We start from the raw sequence: 21,853 nt of genomic DNA, 5'->3' as shown, positions 1-21,853 counted from the left end.
TATAGTAAAGCTCTACTTTTATTATGTTTTATTCTTCAGTTTTGTTCCTTGCACAGGGATACAGGTTTGCCCACAGGGTGGTGGTTCTTCATCTCTGCTGCTGTGTGAGTAATGGCTGCCCACCGCCTGAAGTAGTTGTCATGATAAACCGGGTGATGCCATTGAACAGACTGGGTTTGGGCACCACAGGGTGAGAAATCTAGGTCACTAGTCATAAACAGCTTTGTCCTAGGAAGAAGAGGCTTGCTGGTTGTCATCTGTCTTTGCACAAACAGCTCATCCTGGCACTTAAAATCATTGGCATAAATTGGGTCAGATATTAGATTGAATTATATGAAATTGCCCTACTTGTCCATTTTTGACCTAACATGACAATTTCATGTTGTTCAGCTTAACACAAAGTACAATGAAGAAAACCTGTTCAAATGTTAGTCTCTTATGGTGTAATTTTTACATTTTTTAATTAAAAAAATGCTACCAGTTAAAAACAGGTTTAATAGTCTGTGAGAATTTATATAGTTAACACCTTTCACTTTCAGAAGCATCATTATTCTAGGCAGAAATGACATAGGAGAGTAGAGATGGATTCTAGGACTTCATAAAAAAGTTCAAAGACATCACAAAGTCCTAACAACAGTAATGCCAAAGTCTTTGCAGCATGAAGTCTGCATCTGAAAGAGGAGTGATTATGGGGAGAAGGGAAAGGGATTTTTGGGGGATAAGATGAGCTCTGGAGGGGATGTAGGATGAGAGTCTACAGGCAAGGGCCTGTCAGACAGACCTATAGGTGTGAGAGAGCGGGACTCAGGCCCACAGAAGCAGTGATGATGGGAATATACCTTAGTGCCGAGCTTGGCTCATCTTCCAAGCAGCACAGGTAGGTAGCTGGGGAGACAGGCACATATGTTTTTCCACTTCCACTTATCCCAAAAGGATGAATTCAGACTCACACCCTGAAAGATCATGCTATGTGCTGACGTCTGAAATCAGGTACCTGAGGGATCCCATTTTTGCTTTGCTACTAGAGAAGTAAAATTCAAATGTCCTAAAGAAGCAATTCATGTGTTGGTTGATAATATTGAATTGTAGTCAACTTAATAATTAGAGTGAGAAAACACTCATCAGATCCTTTGTGGCTTGAATTATTGAGAAAAGGGCATTAAGAGTGTACTGAATCAAAAAACAGGTGATGAGGTGTGAGAATAATATGAGAGCATGATAACCAGCTAAGTTTAACTAAGATCATACAGTATCTTAATGACATCGTTTGGCATATTTGTATCATTAAAACAATATAGTAAGTATGATGGAAGTGGCTTTTCCTTGGATCTTGTATTTGTCATAACTAAATTATATTATTAAGATTTTATTCAGCTACTTAAGAAAATCTTCCTGATGGCTTTTAAGTGTGATGTTCCTGAATCTTATAATAATGATTTTCTATTCTTGGCTCTTTGGGTTGCTTCTGCCACTTCTATTTTGAAAGAACTTAATAATAACCACAGGGTTAATAATAACAGCATGTGATTGTTGAAGGCTTAATGGCTAGAGCATTTCATTGTGACTTTTCATGTAGACATAGAAGGATTTTTTACTTTTTACAAACTCACAGGCTATCTTGTGCCAGCTTATATATATATCTGGAAGAGGAATTGTATATATTTGGCTGACTTCAGTTCACAAGTGTCTTATGAATCTCTGTGGCAAATTGATATATCCATCCATGGTAGAAGGCAGGAGACTGCCATGGGGATTTGTCTCCAGGATCATCAAGGTCCTCAGTATAAGAAACCTGATGTTACAGGCCAGGTGCGGTGACTCACGCCTGTAATCCCAGCACTTTAGGAGGCCAAGGTGGGTGGATCACCTGGGGTCAGGAGTTCAAGACCAGCCCGGCCAACATGGTGAAACCCTGTCTCTACTGAAAATTATAAAAATTAGCTGGATGTGGTGGCACGTGCCTGTAGTCCCAGCTACTCAGGAGGCTGAGACACAAGACTCACTTGAACCCAGGAAGCAAAGGTTGCAGTGAGCTCAGATTGCGCCACTGCACTCCAGCCTGGGTGACAGAGCGAGAGTCTGCCAAAAAAAAAAAAAAAAAAAAAGAAACCTGATGTTACAGAGCATTGTAATGAGGTAAGAATTTCCTAGAGTATATTGTTGCCAAATAAACTAAATAAATAGTATGAAGAGGTAAGACAAAGTTACAGGCCTAGGCAAGAATGGAAAAGAAAAAAAGGAATCATTAATGTTCGGGATAAAAGGACAGATATTAATCGAGTATTTGCTGGTTAATAGCAAAAGAAACATACTTTTTTTTCTAGCTGAGGATTTTCATGAGTTGTTTTTCAGGATACAAGCGAATTTATACAATTCCTTACCTGTCAGTACAACATGCATTGGTTCCCCTTCCCCCCAACAGATGGCAAGGTGAATTATGAAATCTCATAAAAAAAAAATACAACTAGTCTACTCTTGGAAGGTAGAGATATGTCCTTATTTGAAATGGTTTGCGGTGTTTTTCAAGGAGATGAGCACCTACTGATCTCTTTCTGTGCCTATTAAAACCAGAAATCGGAGCTGGATGTGGTGGGCACCTCTGTAGTCTCAGCTGCTTGGGAGGATTGCTTGAGCTCAGGAATTTGAGGCCAGCCTAGGCAACATAGTAAAACCACTGTCCCTAAAAAACACATTTTTAAAATAATAAACATCAGAAATTGGTAAAAACATTGCAAAAAAGAGGGATGGTGAGGGTAAGCATTGTCTGTTTGGGGATTGAGATTATGCCTAAAATTTTAAGATTCCTAACGATGACTTGCATGTGTTTCCTATTATGTGCTATTAGTTATTTCTCATTGCATCTAAGAACTTTATTAAGAAGTACCTAGCGGCCAGGCATGGTGGCTCATGCCTGTAATCCCAGCATTTTGGGATACCAAGGCAGGCAGATCACGAGATCAAGAGATCAAGACCATCCTGGCCAACATGGTGAAACCCCATCTCTACTAAAAATACAAAAATTAGCTGGGCGTGGTGGCGGGTGCCTGTAGTCCCAGCTACTCGGGAGGCTGAGGCAGGAGAATCGCTTAAACCCAGGAGGCGGAGGTTGCAGTGAGCCAAGATCGCACCACCACTCTCCAGCCTGGCAACAGAGCAAGACTCCGTCTCAAAAAAAAAAAAAAAAAAAGTACCTAGCATGGCACATAGCAAGAATCAATATTTTGTTGCTTTACTGGAGGAGACACTATTATTTTTTCTTTTATAAACAAAAGTAGAATTTTGTGTGATAAGTTTTTTCTTGGAGCATATTGTCTTCATAAAATAAACATGGAAAACATATTGTTTTCTTCTCCTACAGTTGATACCCAAAAAAAGCTTTGTGAAATAATGCCAAGATAGTGTCACTACTACCATAAAACTTTAAAAAGTGAATAAAAATGTGAGAGAAGTTAACACTTAGCATATGGTTTTTCCCAAAACTGGAAAAGCTTGTACAAGAATATTATCTAGAAACTACTTAAAACTTTAAAAAGTGACTTTGAAAAGAAAATCGTCATAGAAATTTGCCTTTTGTAAGATGTTACAATTAGCTAAATATGAACATAATGTGAAAGTAAATAAAGCATAAGCCGCCCTTTCGCAATAATACTGTCCTTTTGAAATTTTTTGAGAGGCCCTTTTCCCAGAATAAGTATGACTCTTAACAGAGGACTTTCCGCTCTGTATATTAGCGTATGAAGTGCGTGTCCATGTTAATGGTCCAACTTCAAGCATCTTTTGTGCCATCATTAACAACTGGAACACAGAAAATTGTGAACAGAAATCGCCTCTAGACATCTCTCAGTTGTTAACTGCCTAAATATTGTGAATGTAACATGCATTTTTCTGATGAGAAAAGAAATACAATTTTTTTTTTTTTCCTGGAGATCAAGTCATGCTCTGTCTCCCAGGTGGGAGCTCAGTCGCACGCTCATAGCTCATTGCAGCCTCGAACTCCTGGGCTTAAGCAATCCTCCCTGCTCAGCCTCTTGAATATCTGGGACTACAAGCACACACCACCATGCCTGGCTAATTTTTTTTTTCTTTAAATTTTTGCAGAAACGGGATCTCGCTATGTTACCCAGGATTCCTGGCCTCAAGCAGTCCTTCCACCTTGGTCTCCCAAAGTGCTGGGATTACAGGTGTGAGCCACTGCACCTGGCCATATTTATTTAGAAAGTAAAAAAATTTAAATTGTTTCTAAATCATCTATAATCCCTACCATCTCTGTATAACTATGTCAACATTTTGGTATTTATTATTCTGGTCTTTATAAACTCTATCGTATGTGTGTGTTTACAAATCTGGCATATCATTACATATATGATTTTACAACCCATTTTCTTTACAGTTTACAGCAGAAGCATTTTTGAAACATTCTTCTGCAATGGTTAAGATGGGTATCCACTTATTTAGGATTTCTTCATTAAGGATTCAAACATACTTTTCCACCTCTCCCCACCACTTGTCAATGTCATGGGCAAAGAAATGGTGGTTTATTTTATGTTTTTGATTTTTCAATCCTGCCCCTTCCATAGGTGGTTTATGTTTTAGTTTGCATTTATTTGATTACTGGTGATGTTACATATTTTGTATACTTGTTAGCACTTTCCTTTCTTTTGTCAATTACATATTTCTTCTGACATTTTTATTGGGATGTTTAACCTTTTATAAATAAAGTTTACTTACCTTTTGTCAAATGTGTTATAGATACTTTTCCATTTTAACATTTGCCATTTTGTTTATTTAAATTTTTGTTGTTTTGAGAATGATGATTTCAGATATCTTCCTATTACAGAGAGTTGATTTTGGGATAGCCTTAGGTGGTTCAATCAGATCCGCACCAAAATGGTTTCAAATACCCAAGTGACCTGTAAACTGTAAATTCACAAGACCCAATGAACCCTAAGGTCTGAGCTCTGGGGCATAACCACAGCCTCAAAGCTAGGGCAGGATTAAGCCAGCTCAGATGCACTCAGCCTGCAGAATCTAACTAGGTCAGTCTGCTGTGGCTCTCTGAGATTGTGGGGCTATTTTTGTCAGTGTCTCTTCTGCCTATGAAAATTAGAATTGAGGAAAGCTACAGATGCTTCCCATATGGTTGCTATTAGTGAAATTATATACAGAGAATTTAATTTGAAAACAGTTGATACACTCACATTATTTAGAGACTTAAAGGGCTGTGAAAGATACTCTAGCTATCACACCTGCAACTCTCCTGTTTGCAGGGAGCCTTCATCTTACATGTGGTAGCCTTCTGTCCTGTTCTTGCTTTTGCCAGGGAAGGAGCCTTCATTCTGGTGTTCATGATTTTGCCGGGCACATAATGTAGATCTTCATTAAGGATTCAAACATAATTTTTTCACCTTTCTTTCCCCTCCCCACATCACTTTTATTTAAATATATAGCTCCTAGATTTTGGCATTGACTTTAGTGAACTCAGCAGATAGCTGCTCTAGTTCTTCCTGTATCTAGGATTTAGAGAATTTTCATTTGCAATCAGTTGCACTTGTTCTTACAACAGTTTGTGTAGATACAGCAGCAAGCAGGCTGTGATGGTTTATTACTCTAATTGGTCTATTAGATGTACTTGATGTTTCACAAGGTTCTAGGAGGAGAAAAAAATGTTTGTCCACAACTTGTGGAGCCTACTAATGGAGTTTAATATCTATTTTTGTCATCTGTGAAAATGCATTATAGGTTCTATTTAAAGCATTAAAAAATCTGAAGTGGCCGGGCGCGGTGGCTCACGCCTGTAATCCCAGCACTTTGGGAGGCCGAGGCGGGCGGATCACGAGGTCAGGAGATCGAGACCATCCCGGTTAAAATGGTGAAACCCCGTCTCTACTAAAAATACAAAAAATTAGCCGGGCGTAGTGGCGGGCGCCTGTAGTCCCAGCTACTTGGGAGGCTGAGGCAGGAGAATGGCGTGAACCCGGGAGGCGGAGCTTGCAGTGAGCCGAGATCCCGCCACTGCACTCCAGCCTGGGCGACAGAGCGAGACTCCGTCTCAAAAAAAAAAAAAAAAAAAAAAAAATCTGAAGTGGAATTGATCATTAAGTCATCAAACTTTGTTACCTTCTACTAAAGCAATCAGGTGACCCTCTAAATTTGATTTCCCCTAAATTTCCAATTAATGTGCTTATCCTGGTACATTTGATTTACAAAGAGAATTTACTGCCACATGGTATTCATTTTATGGGAAATGTCGTGTCGAAACAATATTGTGTAACTATATCTTTTAAAGACAATCCTGCAATAATAAAACTAATAAACATAATGTAATGACATTTGTAAAGTGTATCCCAGAACTATCAGTAGATTAATAAATATTGAGGAAAAGGAACATCCTCAGTCAAGTAAGTTTAGAGACCTTATTGAGTTGCTTGCTTTACTGTAAGATTCCTCAAGACATTTAATATATGTGTTAAAATTCTCTAAGAGACACAATTCATACCATTTTTCATATACATTTAATATCAGAACTTTCCAATATCAGAGCACACTCTTGGTAAATCCTGAGCTACAGTAGAAGCTTTGAAATAAGTGATTAAGAATATTAATGTTACGATTCACAGCTTAAGAATCGTTGAACATGGGTCTGGGCACAGTGGCTCATGCCTGTAATCCCAGCACTTTAGGAGGCTGAGGCTGGAGATCATTTGAGGCCAGGAGTTCAAGACCAGGTTGGGAAACATAGTAAGACCCTTGCTCTACAAAAAAAAGATAAAAATTAACCTAGCCTGGTACTTGTCTGTAATCCTAACTGGGAGGCTGAAACAGGAGGATCACTTGAGCCTGGGAGTTTGAGGCTGCAGTGAGCTATGATAACACCACTCCACTCCAGCCTGGGTGGCAGAGTGAGGACCTTGTCTAAAAAGGAAAAATTATGATATTTTTGATTCACAGTTTAAGATTAATCACAGTTTAAGCAATATTATGATTCACGGTTTAAGAATCACTGAACAAATATCTATATTCAAGTACAGAAAACAACCCTCAATTGATTAAGAAAATGACTTCCCAACCCTAAATTCTGTTGTGCAAGATATTGGTGAAGAAAGCCGAGGAATTCTACTTATTGTCTAAGAGTTTAATAATTTAGGTGGCAAAGAAAGCATTAAATAAATACATCTACATCATACCAGAATGACCATGGGCAGAGAGAAATGGGACTCTTTTCTTCCATTGCAAATGGCCGTCACAACAATAATGATGCTAAGTTATGCCAGGATCCAACTAAAGTAGCCTTTACTCCATAATTCAAAATTACTATACTTTACTATTTAATAAGATAATGTTTAGTTAGCTTTTATTTTACTTTAGGAGAAAAAGTATGAGAAATATTTCTTTTTGCTTTTGTGTTTAAGAATAGTGCCAGTTCTTAATAGGGCTCAAGCTGCTCAATGTGAGGTCTGTCCTGGCCCTAGGAGGGGAATGCTGGACTCACTTGAGATGGATATTTCAGGGCTTCGCGTGAGCCAAGAATAAGAATCTCAAGTCAACTGATGCGTGGTCTCAAGAAATTGCTCCCAGAAATTCCCCCAGCTCAGCACCTGCTGCTCTAGATAAGAGAGATTCTATCACCCTTTGCCACACAGAGCCAGCAAGTTTCACCTTCAAATTGCTCTTTGCTCAATTTTCATATTTATTTCTGGCCAGTTTTAAATTAGGCATCTGACAATTTATTCCATCTGATCAAATCAATCTGATTTTTTTCTGTTGAAAAAAGGTTAAAAATATCTGAAGGTAGGCCACTATGTAAAAGAATCCATTTTCCTATTTCCTCTGAAGTTTACAGCAAGACAGTTGTAATAGAAATGGAGAAGGGAGTAGGTAAGAAGTTTACTTTCTTTCTTTTTGTATCTTTTGCTTTGGAGAAAACGTCAGTGTATTTTTAGAAAAACTTTTTTTTGTTTTGTTTTGGTATGTTTTACATTCAATTTTTTTCCATTTTAACTAATGTTCCTGTGAGTATAAAGGAGCCAAATGTCGCATTCATTTTTTTTAACTATCAATAATAAATAGGGATTCAGTGGCCTTGGTTTAAATATTTTTAAATTTAATTTAATTTGTAAAATACTTTTATATCAAGGGTACATGTGCAGGTTTGTTATGTAGGTAAATAATGTGTTCCCGGGGTTTGGTATATAGATTATTGTGTCACCAGGTAATAAAGCATGGTACCCAATAGGTAGTATTTTAGTCCTCACCCCCCTCCCGCCCTTCACCCTCAAGAAGGCCCTGGTGTCTGTTGTTCCCTTCTTGGTGTCCATGTGTACTCAATGTGAGTGAGAACATGCAGTATTTGGTTTTCCGTTCCTGCATTAGTTCACTTAGGATAACTGCCTCCATCTCCATCCATGTTGCTGCAGAGGACATGATGCTGTTCTTTTTTATGGCTGCATAGTATTCCATGGTGTATATGTACCACATTTTCTTTTCTTTTTTTTTTTTTTTTTTGAAAGATACTTCACTTTTTATTCACTTAAAATAGCATGGTCACAAATATATATACAACTAAAACAAACCCACAACAAAAGGAATACATCTCTCAGTAATTAATAAGACAAGCAGACAAAGAATTCAATCAATAGGGACGTGGAAAACTTGTACAGAATGAAAAAACCTGATCAAATAGACACTGCATACAACATCTGCACAATATATATGCCTTTTAGCAGCAAAATGGAATATATATTTTTTTTAGTTGACCAAGTTCTGGAGCAAAAAGCAAAACTCAACACAGTTTAGCGGTTTTAAAATACACAGCTTGTTGCCTGCCAAATCGATCTATCATCTTCGGACCTCATGCTGAGATCCAGACCTGTGTATCCAACCAACAATGTGCTGGAATGGTCTTGTAAGAGCAGACAGTGCCCATTTTCTTTATCGTGCCTACCATTGATGGGCATCTAGGTTGATTCCATATCTTTGCTATTATGAATAGTGCTGTGATGAACATATGCATGCGTCTGTTTTTTTTTTTTTTGAGATGGAGCCTCCCTCTGTTGCCCAGGCTAGAGTGTGGTGGCACGATCTTGGCTCACTGCAACCCCTGCCTCCCAGGTTCAAGTGATTCTCCTGCCTCAGCCTCCCGAGTGGCTGGGATTACAGGCATGTGCCACCACACCCAGCTAATATTTTTGTATTTTTAGTAGAGACGGGGTTTCACCATGTTGTCCAGGCTGGTCTCGAACTCCTGACCTCAGGTGATCCACCCTCCTTGGCCTCCCAAAGTGCTGGGATTACAGGCGTGAGCCACCACACCCAGCTCTATGTGTCTTTATGGTAGAACAATTTATATTTCTTTGGATATATACCCAATAATGGTATTGTTGGGTCAAATGGTACTGCTGTTTCAAGTTCTTTGATAAATCACCAAACTGCTTTCCACTGTGACTAATTTACATGCCCACCAGCAATATATAAGCGTTGCCTTTTCTCTGCAAACTCACCCAGCGTCTGTTATTTTTTGACGTTTTAATAAGAGCCTTTCTGACTGGTGTGAGATAGTATCTCATTGTGGTTTTAATTTACATTTGTCTAATGTAAATCTTTCTAAAAATTTTCACATACATAATGTCAGACCTACAGAAAAGCTGAAAAGTTGCAAGAATAGGACAAAGAATTCCCATGTACCCTTCACTTGGATTTTTCAAATGTTAATAATTTTAAAAAAATTTGTTGTGGATCTCTAGTGGCTATATATATTTATGGGGTATGTGAAATATTTTGATACAGGCATATAATACATAATCACATCAGAGTAAATGGGGTGTTCATTACCACAAGCATTTATTCTTTCTTTGTGTAACAAACAATCCAGTTATACTCTTTTAGTTATTTTTAAATGTACAATAAATTGTTGACTGTAGTCAACCTGTTGTACTATCAAATATGAGATCTTATTCTAGTTATTTTTCTGTACCGTTAACCATCCCTACTCCCTCCATCCCCACCACCACTTGCACTACTCTTCCCAGCTGCTGATAACCATCATCCTACCATTTATCTCTGTGAGTTCAGTTGTTTTAATGTTTAGCTTCCACAAATGAGAACACACAAAGTCTGTCTTTTTGTCCCTCGCTTATTTCACTTAATTTCTTCCATTTCCATCCATGTTGTAGCAAATAGCAAGATCTCATTCTTTTTTATGGCTGAGTCGTTCTCCATTGTGCATACATACCACATTTTCTTGATTCATTTGTCTGTTGATCGACACTTAGGTTGCTTCCAAAGCTGTTGTAACTAGTGCTGTAATAAATATAATAGTGCAGATATCTCTTTGCTACATTTAGTTTCCTTTCTTTTGAGTATATACCTAGCAGTGGTATTCTAGGATCATATGGTAGTTCTATTTTCAGGATTTTATAGAACCTTCATACTGTTCTCCATAGTAGTTGTACTAATTAACATTCCCACCAGCATTGTACAAGGGTTTCCTTTTCTCTACATCCTCACCAGCATTTGTTATTGCCTGACTTTTGGATAAAAGCCATTTTAACGGGGGTGAGATGATATCTCATTGTAGTTTTGATTTGCATTTCTCTGATAATCAATGATGGTGAGCACCTTTTCATATACCTATTTGACATTTGTATGTATTCTTTTGAGAACTGTTTATTTAGACCTTTTGCCCGTTTCAAAATCAGATCATTAGATATTTTCCTATAGAGCTGTTTGTGCTCCTTACATATTCATTATTATTCCCTTGTCAAATAGATAGTTTGCAAATATTTTCTTCCACTCTGTGGGGTGTCTCTTCCCTTTTTGATTGTTTCCTTTCCTGTGAAAAGCTTTTTAACATGAAGTGATCCCATTTGTCTATTTTTGCTTTGGTTGCCTGTGCCTCTGGGGTATTATTCAAGAAATCTTTGCCCAGACCAATATTCTGGGGAGTTTCCCCAACGTTTTCTTTTCTTTTTTTTTTTTTTTTTTTTTTTTTTTTGAGGCAGAGTCTCACTCTGTCACCCAGGCTGGAGTGCAGTGGCGCAATCTTGACTCACTGCAAGCTCTGCCTCCCAGGTTCACACCTTTCTCCTGCCTCAGCCTCCCGAGTAGCTGGGACTACAGGCACCCGCCACCATGCCCAGCTAATTGTTTGTATTTTTAGTAGAGATGGGGTTTCACCGTGTTAGCCAGGATGGTCTTGATCTCCTGACCTCATGATCCACCCATCTCCCCAATATTTTCTTTTAGTAGTTTCATAGTTTGAAGTGTTAGATGTAAGAATTTAATACATTTTGATTTGATTTTTGTATATGGCAAGAGATAGAGATCTAGTTTCATTCTTCTGCATATGGATATCCAATTTTCCCAGCACCATTTATTGAAGAGACAGTCCTTTTGCCAGTTTATGTTCTTGGCAACTTTGTTGAAAATGCATTTACTGTAGATGTATGGATTCATTATTGGGTTATCTATTCTGTTCCATTGTTCTGTGTGTCTGTTTTTATGCCAGTACCATGCTATTTTGGTTACTATGACTCTGCAGTATAATTTGAAGTCAAGTAATGTGATTCCTCTAATTTTGTTCTTTTTGCTTAGGATAGCTTTGGTTATTGGGGTCTTTTGTGGTTCCAAATAAATTTTAGGATTGTTTTTCTATTTCTGTGAAGAATGTCATTGGTATTTTGATAGGAATTGCATTGAATCTGGGCACTATGGACATTCTAACATTTTAACAATATTGATTTTTCATATTTATGAACATCTTTCCAATCTTTCTTTTTTTGTGTGTCCCCTTCGATTTCTGGCATCAGTGTTTTACAGTTTTACTTGAAGATATCTTTCACTTTTTTGGTTAAGTTTATTTCTGGGTATTTTATTTGTAGCTATTGTAAATGGGATTACTTTCTTGATTTTGACTGTTTGCTGTTGGTGTATGGAAATGCTACTGATTTTTGTATGTTTGATTTTGTATCCTGCAACTTTACTAAATTTGTTTATCAGTTATAATAGTATTTTGGTAACGTCTTTAGGCTTCTCCAAATATGAGGTCATATCATCTGCAAACAAGAATAATTTGACTTCTTCCTTTCCAATTTGGATGCACTTTATTTCTTTCTCTTGTCTGATTACTCTAGCTAGGATTTCCAGTACTATGTTGAATGACAGTGGTGAAAGTGGACATTCTTGTCTTTTTCCAGATCTTAAAGGAAAGGCTTTCAGTTTTTCCTCATTCAATATGATACTAGCTGTGAGTCTGTCATATATGGCTTTTATTATGTTAAGGTATGTTTCTTCTATTCCCAGTTTTTTAGGATTTTTATCATGAAAGGATGTTGACCTTTATCAAATGCTTTTTCAGCATCACTTGAAATAATTATGTGGTTTTTTATTTTGTTGATATGATGTATCACGTTGAGTTTGCGATGTTGAACCATCCTTTCATTCCTGGGATAAATCCCACTGGGTCGTGATGAATGATCTTTTTAATGTGTTATTGAATTTGGTTTGCTAGTATTATGTTGAGGATTTTGGTATCAGTGCTCATCAGGGATCTTGGCCTGTAGTTTGTTTTCTTTCTTTTCTTTTCTTTTTTCTTTTTCTTTCTTTCTTTCTTCATTTCCTTCTTTTTCTTTTCTTTCTTTCTTTTTTTTTTTTTTTTGATGTGTCTGTTTGATTTTGGTATCATGCCTCTTAGAATGACTTTGGAAGTACTCCCTCCTCCACTTTTTTTTCTGGAAAAAATTTGAGTAGGATTAGCATTAGTTCTTCTTTAAATATTTAGTAAAATTCAGCAGTAAAGCCATGGAGTCCTTTGCTTTTCTTTGCTGGGAAACTTTTTATTATTACTTTGATCTCATTACTTGTTATTGGTCTGTTCAGGTTTTGGATTTCCTCATGGTTCAACTTTGGTAGATTTGTGTGTCTAGGAATTTATCCATTTCTTCTAGGTATATTATTGGTATATAGTTGCTCATAGTAGCCTCTAATGATCCTTTGAATTTCTGCAATATTGGTTGTAATGCCTCCTTTTTCATTTCTGATTTTATCTGGATTATGTCTCTTTTTTTCTTAGTTGTTCTGGCTAATGTTTTGTTGATTTTGTTTATCTTTTCAAAAAACCAGTGCTTCATTTTGTTAATCTTTTGTATTTTTTTAAAGAAGTTATGTTTCTCTTTTTGTTTGGTTTGTTTTTTTGTTTGTTTTTGTTTTTGTTTTTTGGTACAGACAGGGTCTTGCTGTCTTGCCCAGGCTGGTCTTGAACTCCTGGCCTCAAGCCATCCTCCCACCTTGGCCTCCGAAAATGGTGGGATTACAGGCCTGAGCCACCACACCTGGCCAATTTTATTTATTTATGCCCTAATTTCTTTTCTTCTATTAATCTTGTGTTTGGTTTGCTCTTGCTATTCTTGTTCTGTACAATGTTGTTAGGTTACTTATTTGAAGTTTTTCAGCTTTTTTGATGTAGGCACTTAGTGCTATAAACTTTCCTTTTATAGTTTTCACTGTATCCTATAGGTTTTGGTATAATGTGTTTGCATTTTCATTTGTTACAAGAAATTTGTTAGTTCATTGACCCACTGGTCATTCAAGAGCATATTGTTTAATTTCCATGCATTTGTGTAGTTTTCAAAATTCTTCTTGCTATTGGTTTCTAGTTTTATTCTATTGTGATCAGAGAAGGTCCTTGATATTATTTAATTATTTTTGAATTTTAAAATACTTGTTTTGTGGCCTAACATATGTTCCAACCTTGAGAATGATCCATGTGCTGAGGAGAAGAATGTGTATTCTGCAGCCATAGGATGAAATGTCCTATAAATACCTATTAGATCAATTTGATCTATAGTGCAGATTGAGTGTGATGTTTGTTGATTTTCTGTCTGAATGATCTGTCCAGTGCTGAAATTGTGGTGTTGAAGTGTCCAGCTATTACTGTAATGGTGTCATTCTCTCTCTTTAGCTCTAACATTTGCTTTATATTTCTGAGTGCTCCAGTATTGGGTGCCTATATATTTGCAGTTGTTATATCTGCAATTAATGAATTCACTCCTTTATCATTAAATAATGACCTTCTTTGTCTCTTTTTATAGTTTTTGCCTTGAAGTCTGTTTTTGTCCGATATAAGTTTAGTTACTCCTCTTTTGGGGGTTTCCATTGTCTAATCTATAGACTTTATAAAGATTTCATCATTTGTCCCAATATCTTTTCTAACAAATGAAAATCAAGATTATGTATTGTGCTATTTTGTCTCTTTAATCTTTATCACTTCCTCTCTGTCTTTGTAGTTCATGATATTACATTTTTGAAGCATTCAAGGGCAGTTGTTTTGTAGGATGTCTCTCAATTTGGATTTGCCTGATATTTCCTTATGATTAGACTGAGGTAATATATTTTTCGCCTGAATGCCGCAGAAGTGATGTTTTGTTCTCCATGTATCGTATCAGGAGGCACATGTTGATTTGTTCCAGCTTTAACCTCCATCACGTGTTTGAGGTGGTATCTGCTAAGTTTCTCCACTATCAGGTTACCAATTTTTCCTTTTCAGTTAGTAAGTATCTTATGAGGAATTATTTTGAAACCATGTAAATATTCTCTTCTTTCTTATATATTCATCCATTAACTTTAGCCTCAGTGATTCTTGCCTGGATCAATTAGTATTTGTATTGGTTGCCAAATAGTGATTTTTAAAAATTAATTCCTTCCACATTTATTAGTTGGCTTTCTACCATAAAGAAGAGGTCTAACTTCTCTCTTGTTTATATCAGTGTAGACTTGTGAATATTTATTCTATGAGTTATAATTCTTTTTGCTAATTACATATTTTGATGCTCAAATTGTCTCAGATTTGTATATATATACACACACATGTATACATACACATACACACCTAAAATGTATGCATACACTCACTGGTCTTTGCTTTTAATGTAACTGATTCCTTTTCTCTTACACAGTGGAATTCCTGGAGCAGGTGTGATAGATTATGAATTGTATGTTCTGGTTCTGCTCATCCATTCACTAGTCATACGAACTTGAACAAATCTCTTATATCCTCTATTCCAACTTTTTCTATGTTAAATATTAGGAAATAAATGAAGATGATCTTAAAGAAGCTTTCATTTTTGAAATTCTATTAATGAGTTAAAATGTTTGAAGTTATATTTTTATAAAGTTTTCAGAGAAAGCACCTTAAAAGGAACTTCAAAGCCACAAAAATCATTAGAATTTAGTTCTAGAAGGTACTTTAGAAATTATCTAAACTGTGGCTACTGCAACTAAGAAACTGAATTTTTAATTAATTTAAATTTAAATAGGCACATGTGGCTGGAGGCTACCCTACTGGACAGCACAGCTCTTGAGAATAAATGACAGGCCCCATGTTACATGGGCCCTACTGTCAGAAGCAAAGCAGGATCCCTTTGCATAGTGCACACTCAAGTAAATTAAACCAGGCTAGGGAGGAGACAAGGGCACTGTGTGGGACACCTTACATTTCTTTGATGTGCAGAAAAGACTGGACCATAACAAAGATCATTGGATGACAATCCATGCTGAATTGCCCCACGAGCTTTCTGCTTAATGCTATGCTTTCAAAAAAGAATGTATAAGTGGAATTGGTAGTATCTAGGCAGAGAAAGAGTACAAGATACAATTTGATGGTTTCATAGAATGTATGTTTCAACAGAAAATGATGAAACATAAGTATCATCAAGAAGCAGCAGGCTGCGCTCATAAAGGAAGGGAAGTATACCCCTTCATTGCCACATGCGCAAGGAGGATCTTAGGCCCCGAGCAGAGCTGCTGATGATGGCTAGAGGCTGATTTTCATGTTCTCTCTTCTCCATTGGGAAGATGGTGTATTGAAAACCTCTTTATCAAAGCATATAAAAGTAAAGGATTGCTCCATCCTAAAAAAAAATAAAAAGTAAACCAACCTTCTCATACACCTTTCATAACTAATTATAATTTTTGATAATAAAATTCTGGCATATTAACTTTGTAGCAGATTATTTAAATCACAGGAGGTTGAACATGATGTTGTTTAGCAGTATGTTTATTATATTTCAAAGAAAGTTTAAAGATCAACAACACATCAAGAAGGCTGATCTGCTCTCAGTAGTTCATAGTAAGAGCTGTAATCTGAGAGTTTATATAACTATTTTCAGTAGAAATGCCTTTGTTAGAGAATCTACAGTACTACTGGCAAAATTTGTATTAAAATGATAATATATTCTCCAAAAATGCTAATTCTCCTGTATGTTCAATTATATAATTTATGTTCATGACCTTTTATAAATGCTATACCAAGATTTATGTTTGCTTTTAATGAGAATATGCAATACATTTAGATAATAACTCACCTACAGTGTTGGTAAGAGAGTAAATTGGTAAAACCTGTCAGGAAATTATTCTGGGTGCTAGGTATTAAAGCCCTAAAGCTATTCCTACTTTTGACCTACTAATTCCCCTTACAATCTAATCTGCAGTTAAAGCTTTATGTATAAAGTCATAGTAAAAATTGAAATAACTTGAATGTGCAGAAGGCCAACATACTTAGCATATTTGGTACATCTATGAAGAGCTTTTATTGTCATGGAAAGTAATTATAAAAATTTTAGATTGGCCTTGTATGATGGCTCATGCGTGTAATCCCAGCACTTTGGGAAACTGAGGTGGGCAGATCACTTGAGGTCAGGAGTTCAAGACCAGCCTGGGCAACATAGTGAAACCCCGTCTCTACCCAAAATACAAAAATTAGCCAAGCATAATGGTGTGCACCCGTGGTCCCGGCTACTTGGGAGGCTGAGGTGGGAGGATCACTTGAGCCCAGGGAGAGATTGCAGTGAGCTGAGATCGTGCCATTGCACTCCAGCCTGGATGAAAGAACAAGATGCTGTCACCAAAAAAAAAAAAAAGTTTTAGATTGACATGCAGCATAGAAGACAATATTTATAGAATAAACTACATAAAATATAGAGAAACAGTGTGATTACATCTTTGTCTATCACATTGTCACAGATTTTACCTTTTTGATGCATCTTCTTTTCTTTCTTGATTCTTTTCCTCACACTTGTTTGGCGCTGAGGCCGCTCTGTTGTAGTAGTACTCAGCCAACTGCCAGGTGTCATCCAATCCATTAAAAAACGCTGTTGGCACTACCTCCAAAGTATATCACAGTTGTCTACTTATGTCCATTTCTGGTCCAGACGTCATCTGCTCTCTCCTCAGATTATGATATCAGTGACTGAACTGGGCTCACTGCTCTACACTCGCCCCTGCCGTGTACACCCTGACTTCTAGTCAGTCTCTACACAGCAACCAGAGTCACCTTTTAGACTAATAGGACAGATTTTGGCACTCTTCTCCTTAAAGCTTTTTACCTGCCAAAGGTTTCCCATTGGTGTTAATATAAAATTTTTAATATGAACTACAATTCCCTGCATTTGTTCTTTCTCACCACTTTTTAACCCAGAGTGACTTTCTTTCTACCCTCTTAATATTCATTTTCACTCTGGCCTCAGGGTCTTTGCCCTTACTCATCCCTCTATCTGAAGCACTCATTTCTTGGCTTTTGGAATTACTGGGTCCTCCTTAACCTGTACTGCTACTTCCTCAGAGAGGCCCTCCCTGACCACCCCCACAAACATCTCCTCCTCCCACCCCCAATATTGTTTTTTCATAATATTGATCTGATTTATTAACCTGTTCTCTCATATATTATCTGTCTTCATCCAGTGGATGTAAGCGTCTTGAAGAACAGCTCCTGGAACACAGCAGGCATTTGGTAAATGAGAGACACTAGTAAATGAATCACCACCATCAATCAGGATGAAGCAATAAGGGTTCTCTTTGGCAAAATATATCACTATTCTTTTTAAATGTTCGTAACCAAAGATTTAGCAATTCCTCTTGAGGAATTTACCCTTCAGACATTGATAAAGTTTGTACAACTCTATAGGCAGCCTTGCTTTATAATATTGAAAAATTGGAAACAGTCTAATTTTGGGAATCTGCTACATAAGTTAGTGCTTCCCTATGATTCAATATTATACAGCCATTAATAAAGGCATTTTAGAAACATACTTTTTACATGGAAGATGTCAGATGTCAAACAGATTCTAAAATAGTGTTACATGGAAGATCCCATTTTCATATTATACACATGTACATATTTATACTTCAAAAAATCTACAAGAACAGATACTAAAATATTTATAGCAGTTATGTCTGAACTTTGAGATTGCAGCTTGTTATTATATCCCAGTGCCACTGGAATTGACTCATACTGGAGGGTAGGCCATTGCAGTTTAGGGTGTTTCTTGAGCTATACACAAAGCCTTTCAGGGACTAAACAGATGAGTCTGATAACCCTCTCCTCCTGCAGTAATGCTGTTAGAGAAGGTTAATCAATGTGTTTTTGGTTTCTATAGAGAGAAGACGAGCACTTCTGTTTGGGAGAATTGAGATGTACTTTAGAGAGGGTGAGGGCATGTGCCTTGGCTCTTGATGTGTTTGGAAGATTTAACAGAGGTGATTGAAGAGACATTTCAGGTGGAAAGAAGAGCCAGCATGAAAGAAGGAAATAGAGAAGGAAATCATGAGGCATATTAAAGGAATAGCAAGTGCATCCATTCTGTAAAACCATGGGATATCTGGGAATGGGAATAATTCTTGAAAAGTAGATGGAAAGAAATTGCAGTGACCTGGATTTAGTGGGCACTTGGAAGATATGATTTGAGCAGGGGAATGATGAGCTACTTGAGCTGTTTTTTTAATTTTTTTATTTTTATTTATTTTTTTTTTAGGGAGACTAATCTGACAAGTTATAGGAATGAGTTGGTAGGCTAAAGCTGGAAGCAAAGTGGTAATGCTGGTTTAAGCCTAGACTGTTTGCCCAATATGTCAAGTAGGCTGTATGCAAATTAGGTTATAAGAGAAGAATTTCTTCTTTTGGGTATATTAGACTTGACTTTTTTCCTTCCATCTATTCCCCAGTTTCATTGTGGCATTACTGGCTGCTACTCACTGAGGAGAGTGTATTGTCTAGGGCTAGTGGTTGGGAGCAATGAGTGAATGTTCATAGCCTGGGATATACCAAAAAGGAAACATCAAATTATATGTGTTTTTTAAAGTCAAAGATATTTTGTACAAGAGTTTCTTACACATATGGATAATGTGTTTTTGTTCCCTATGATAACATAGGTATTTTAGCCCCATATTCTGAAGGCAAATAACTGAAAGATTACATTGGTTTGTTTTAAGGAAATTAACAAATGTCCCTTTTGAAAGTAGGTCAAGTTCCTTATTTTAATTTCTAACCTAACATAGGACTCCAGCTGTCAGGCTCTCCCATTAATCCTCTGTATCAGTGAAATCCTCTCTGAAATACATTGTAATTAATTTGTAGGAATTGACAGGAAAAGGTAGTGAGTTCAGACAATATTTCACTACAAGTTTCCCATGTGAAAGGGGACAATTGAATCTTTGAGCTGTTGCAAAAAAATGGTTGAGAAATAGTATTTTGGCAGAAATTATTTCCATTGAAAGAATCAATTGACTCTTGCTAGCAATTGACTCTTGCTAGAAAGAGTCTAGCATTTGACTCTTACTGGATTTCAGCCCCAATAATCTAGACTGGGCAACCTGATTTTGCTGAAATGTTCCATAAGAACTTTCGCTTCAATCATAAATATTTAAAAGTGACTTCATTGTAATTATCCCTAAACCAGCATCAGTCTCACAAGTGCCACAGGAAAGCCAGTCATAGCTGGTGATATGCCTGTAGTAAGGGTAGGAAGAAGAGTGGGAAGGCTTGATTATAGGCAGAGTAGAAAAGTATTAATATAGAAAATAAAAGTATCTTTTGTTATAGTTTTGTCTGCTTTTGTGAAGTGTAGATGGTTCTGCAATTCAAGGACCGCGTGCAAGATTCCAGGGTAATGTAAATGCAGATTTTGGGAAACAGTCATATGCGGGGTACGTTTGTAACTGAATCTTTATTTAGTGAGTGTCTCCTAAATAAACAGCATGGGTAGCTTTTGTCACTGTCCAAGGTACTATATAACTTGGGCTAAAAAAACCCCCAGCAACTTCCTTTTCCAGCATCTTGAAAAGTGTGTCCTCTAGAGACTCTCTAAAGGAAAAAGAAAAGAGAATAAGATAACTGTTGAAAAGGAAAGTAAAACCCGAGTGCCAGATTAGATTGTAAATGTTGAAAACAAACAAAAACCCTCCCAAAGCTCCACTTACTACTTTTCAAACACAAAAGCAATGGCAAATAAAGAACTACGATTAAGAAGGGTGTCCAGAGCAAGTGATGTGCTGCAGTACCCCTGGGTTGTCATTGGGATTTGGAACAATTCAGGTGTGTTCAAGTAAGACCCACCATGATCAAAACCAGCTTGCATCAAATAATAGACTGGGTGAACTGGGTCCTTTAATAATGTATATTGTATGTGTGCTTTTAGCTTTTCAATTTTTCAGCAAAAAAAGCACAAACTTCTTTATAAAATGAATCTCTGCTTTTACTTTTCTATAACCATAAATAAAATATAAGTGAAATGTTTCTCAGCATTTGCCTGTTAAAATAACAATAGCCAAGCTCCCCAGCATTTATGTTAGATAAACGCAATTCTACCAAACACCAAGAGTTTAAACTGTACCATTTTGATAATGATGATAATGAAATTTAGTATATATGATTCTAGTGTAAAATATGTGAAACTCTGCAAGGAAAAAACATTTAAATTCTTGTAAATAATGAGAATACACTGTAAGTGCAATTTTTTTTTTCAGAGGAAGTGCTTAGCCTATCCATATGCTTTCAGTTATCTGGTAGAACAACTAGATCTTCATCTTTTCATTTATACATTCACTATCACACACACACGAAAACGCACACACACCCCTTTTACTCCTCCCACCTCTGATGTGTTCTAAGGAATACAAAAGAATGCAGAAGGACACAATTCTTTGTGGAATAAAGCTTTGTTGAAAGCAAGCAGAGGAGGGTGGGGAAAATGAGATATTGGCCAAAGGGTACAAAATCTCAGGCAGGATGACTAAATTCTGGAGACCTAATGTGCAGCATGGTAACTATCATTAACAATGCTATATCGTATACTTTGAATTTGCTAAGAGAGTAGATCTTGTGTTCTTACCACACACACAAAATGATAACTATGGGAGGTGATGGAAGTGTTAATTAACTCGATTGTGGTAATCATTTCACAGTGTGTATGTAGAGCACACCATTATGTTGTACACCCTAAATATATACAATTTTTATTTGCCAATTATACTTCAGAAAGCTGGGGAGGAAACAATAAGCAGGACTGCTACTAGATATTTCATAACCTCATGGAATTCTTGCTGCAACTTCAGAGTTCCCGTTTTACAAAAACCAGTTTCTCTCTTAGTAGCCAAAAGTTAAGAGGGAGAAACAGGAAAGAAGAAAGAACAAAGCAGAGCAAGGTGTCAGATTGCAGATTTGATGAGAGAATCGGAAAGGATGGGAAGGGCCTCCACATGTTAGCGGGGCAAGACAAGGCTTTCTTCAGTTTCGAGGGTGGCAGCATAGACAAGAATGGAGGAAAGAGCTGTTGAATCATGAACTTGACTAGAGAGCAGGGTTAGAACGACTCTGAAGAAAGCAGGTAGGCAGTGAACAGGAAATGAATCCATGCACAAAAGGGGAGGACGTGGACCCTCAGAGTTCTCCCCGAACTCCTCTGTAGTCAAGTTTATAATTCACCAACTCCCATTACAAAATGTTTATTGTATTTTACATTTGTTAGGGATTATTGTGTGATCTTGACTTGAACAAATTTTTATTTCCCCTTGATTTCCATTTCTTTAC

The 21,853-nt window shown here is 36.9% G+C and overlaps 1 protein-coding gene and 1 pseudogene across 35 annotated transcripts in view; both read left to right on the top strand.

Annotated features, from left to right (window-relative positions):
* The window catches only part of MAP7 (microtubule associated protein 7), a 207,689-nt gene that overhangs the window by 58,791 nt on the left and 127,045 nt on the right, over nt 1–21,853 (top strand). The window lies entirely within an intron of this gene.
* Nucleotides 15,482–15,761, top strand: NDUFS5P1 (NADH:ubiquinone oxidoreductase subunit S5 pseudogene 1; annotated as a pseudogene).

The sequence above is a fragment of the Homo sapiens genome, chromosome 6, assembly GCF_000001405.40.
Source record: "Homo sapiens chromosome 6, GRCh38.p14 Primary Assembly".
In the NCBI taxonomy this organism is placed as follows: Eukaryota; Metazoa; Chordata; class Mammalia; order Primates; family Hominidae; genus Homo; species Homo sapiens.
Note: the sequence above shows the minus strand (reverse complement) of the source record. Positions and strands in the feature narration are given on the sequence as shown.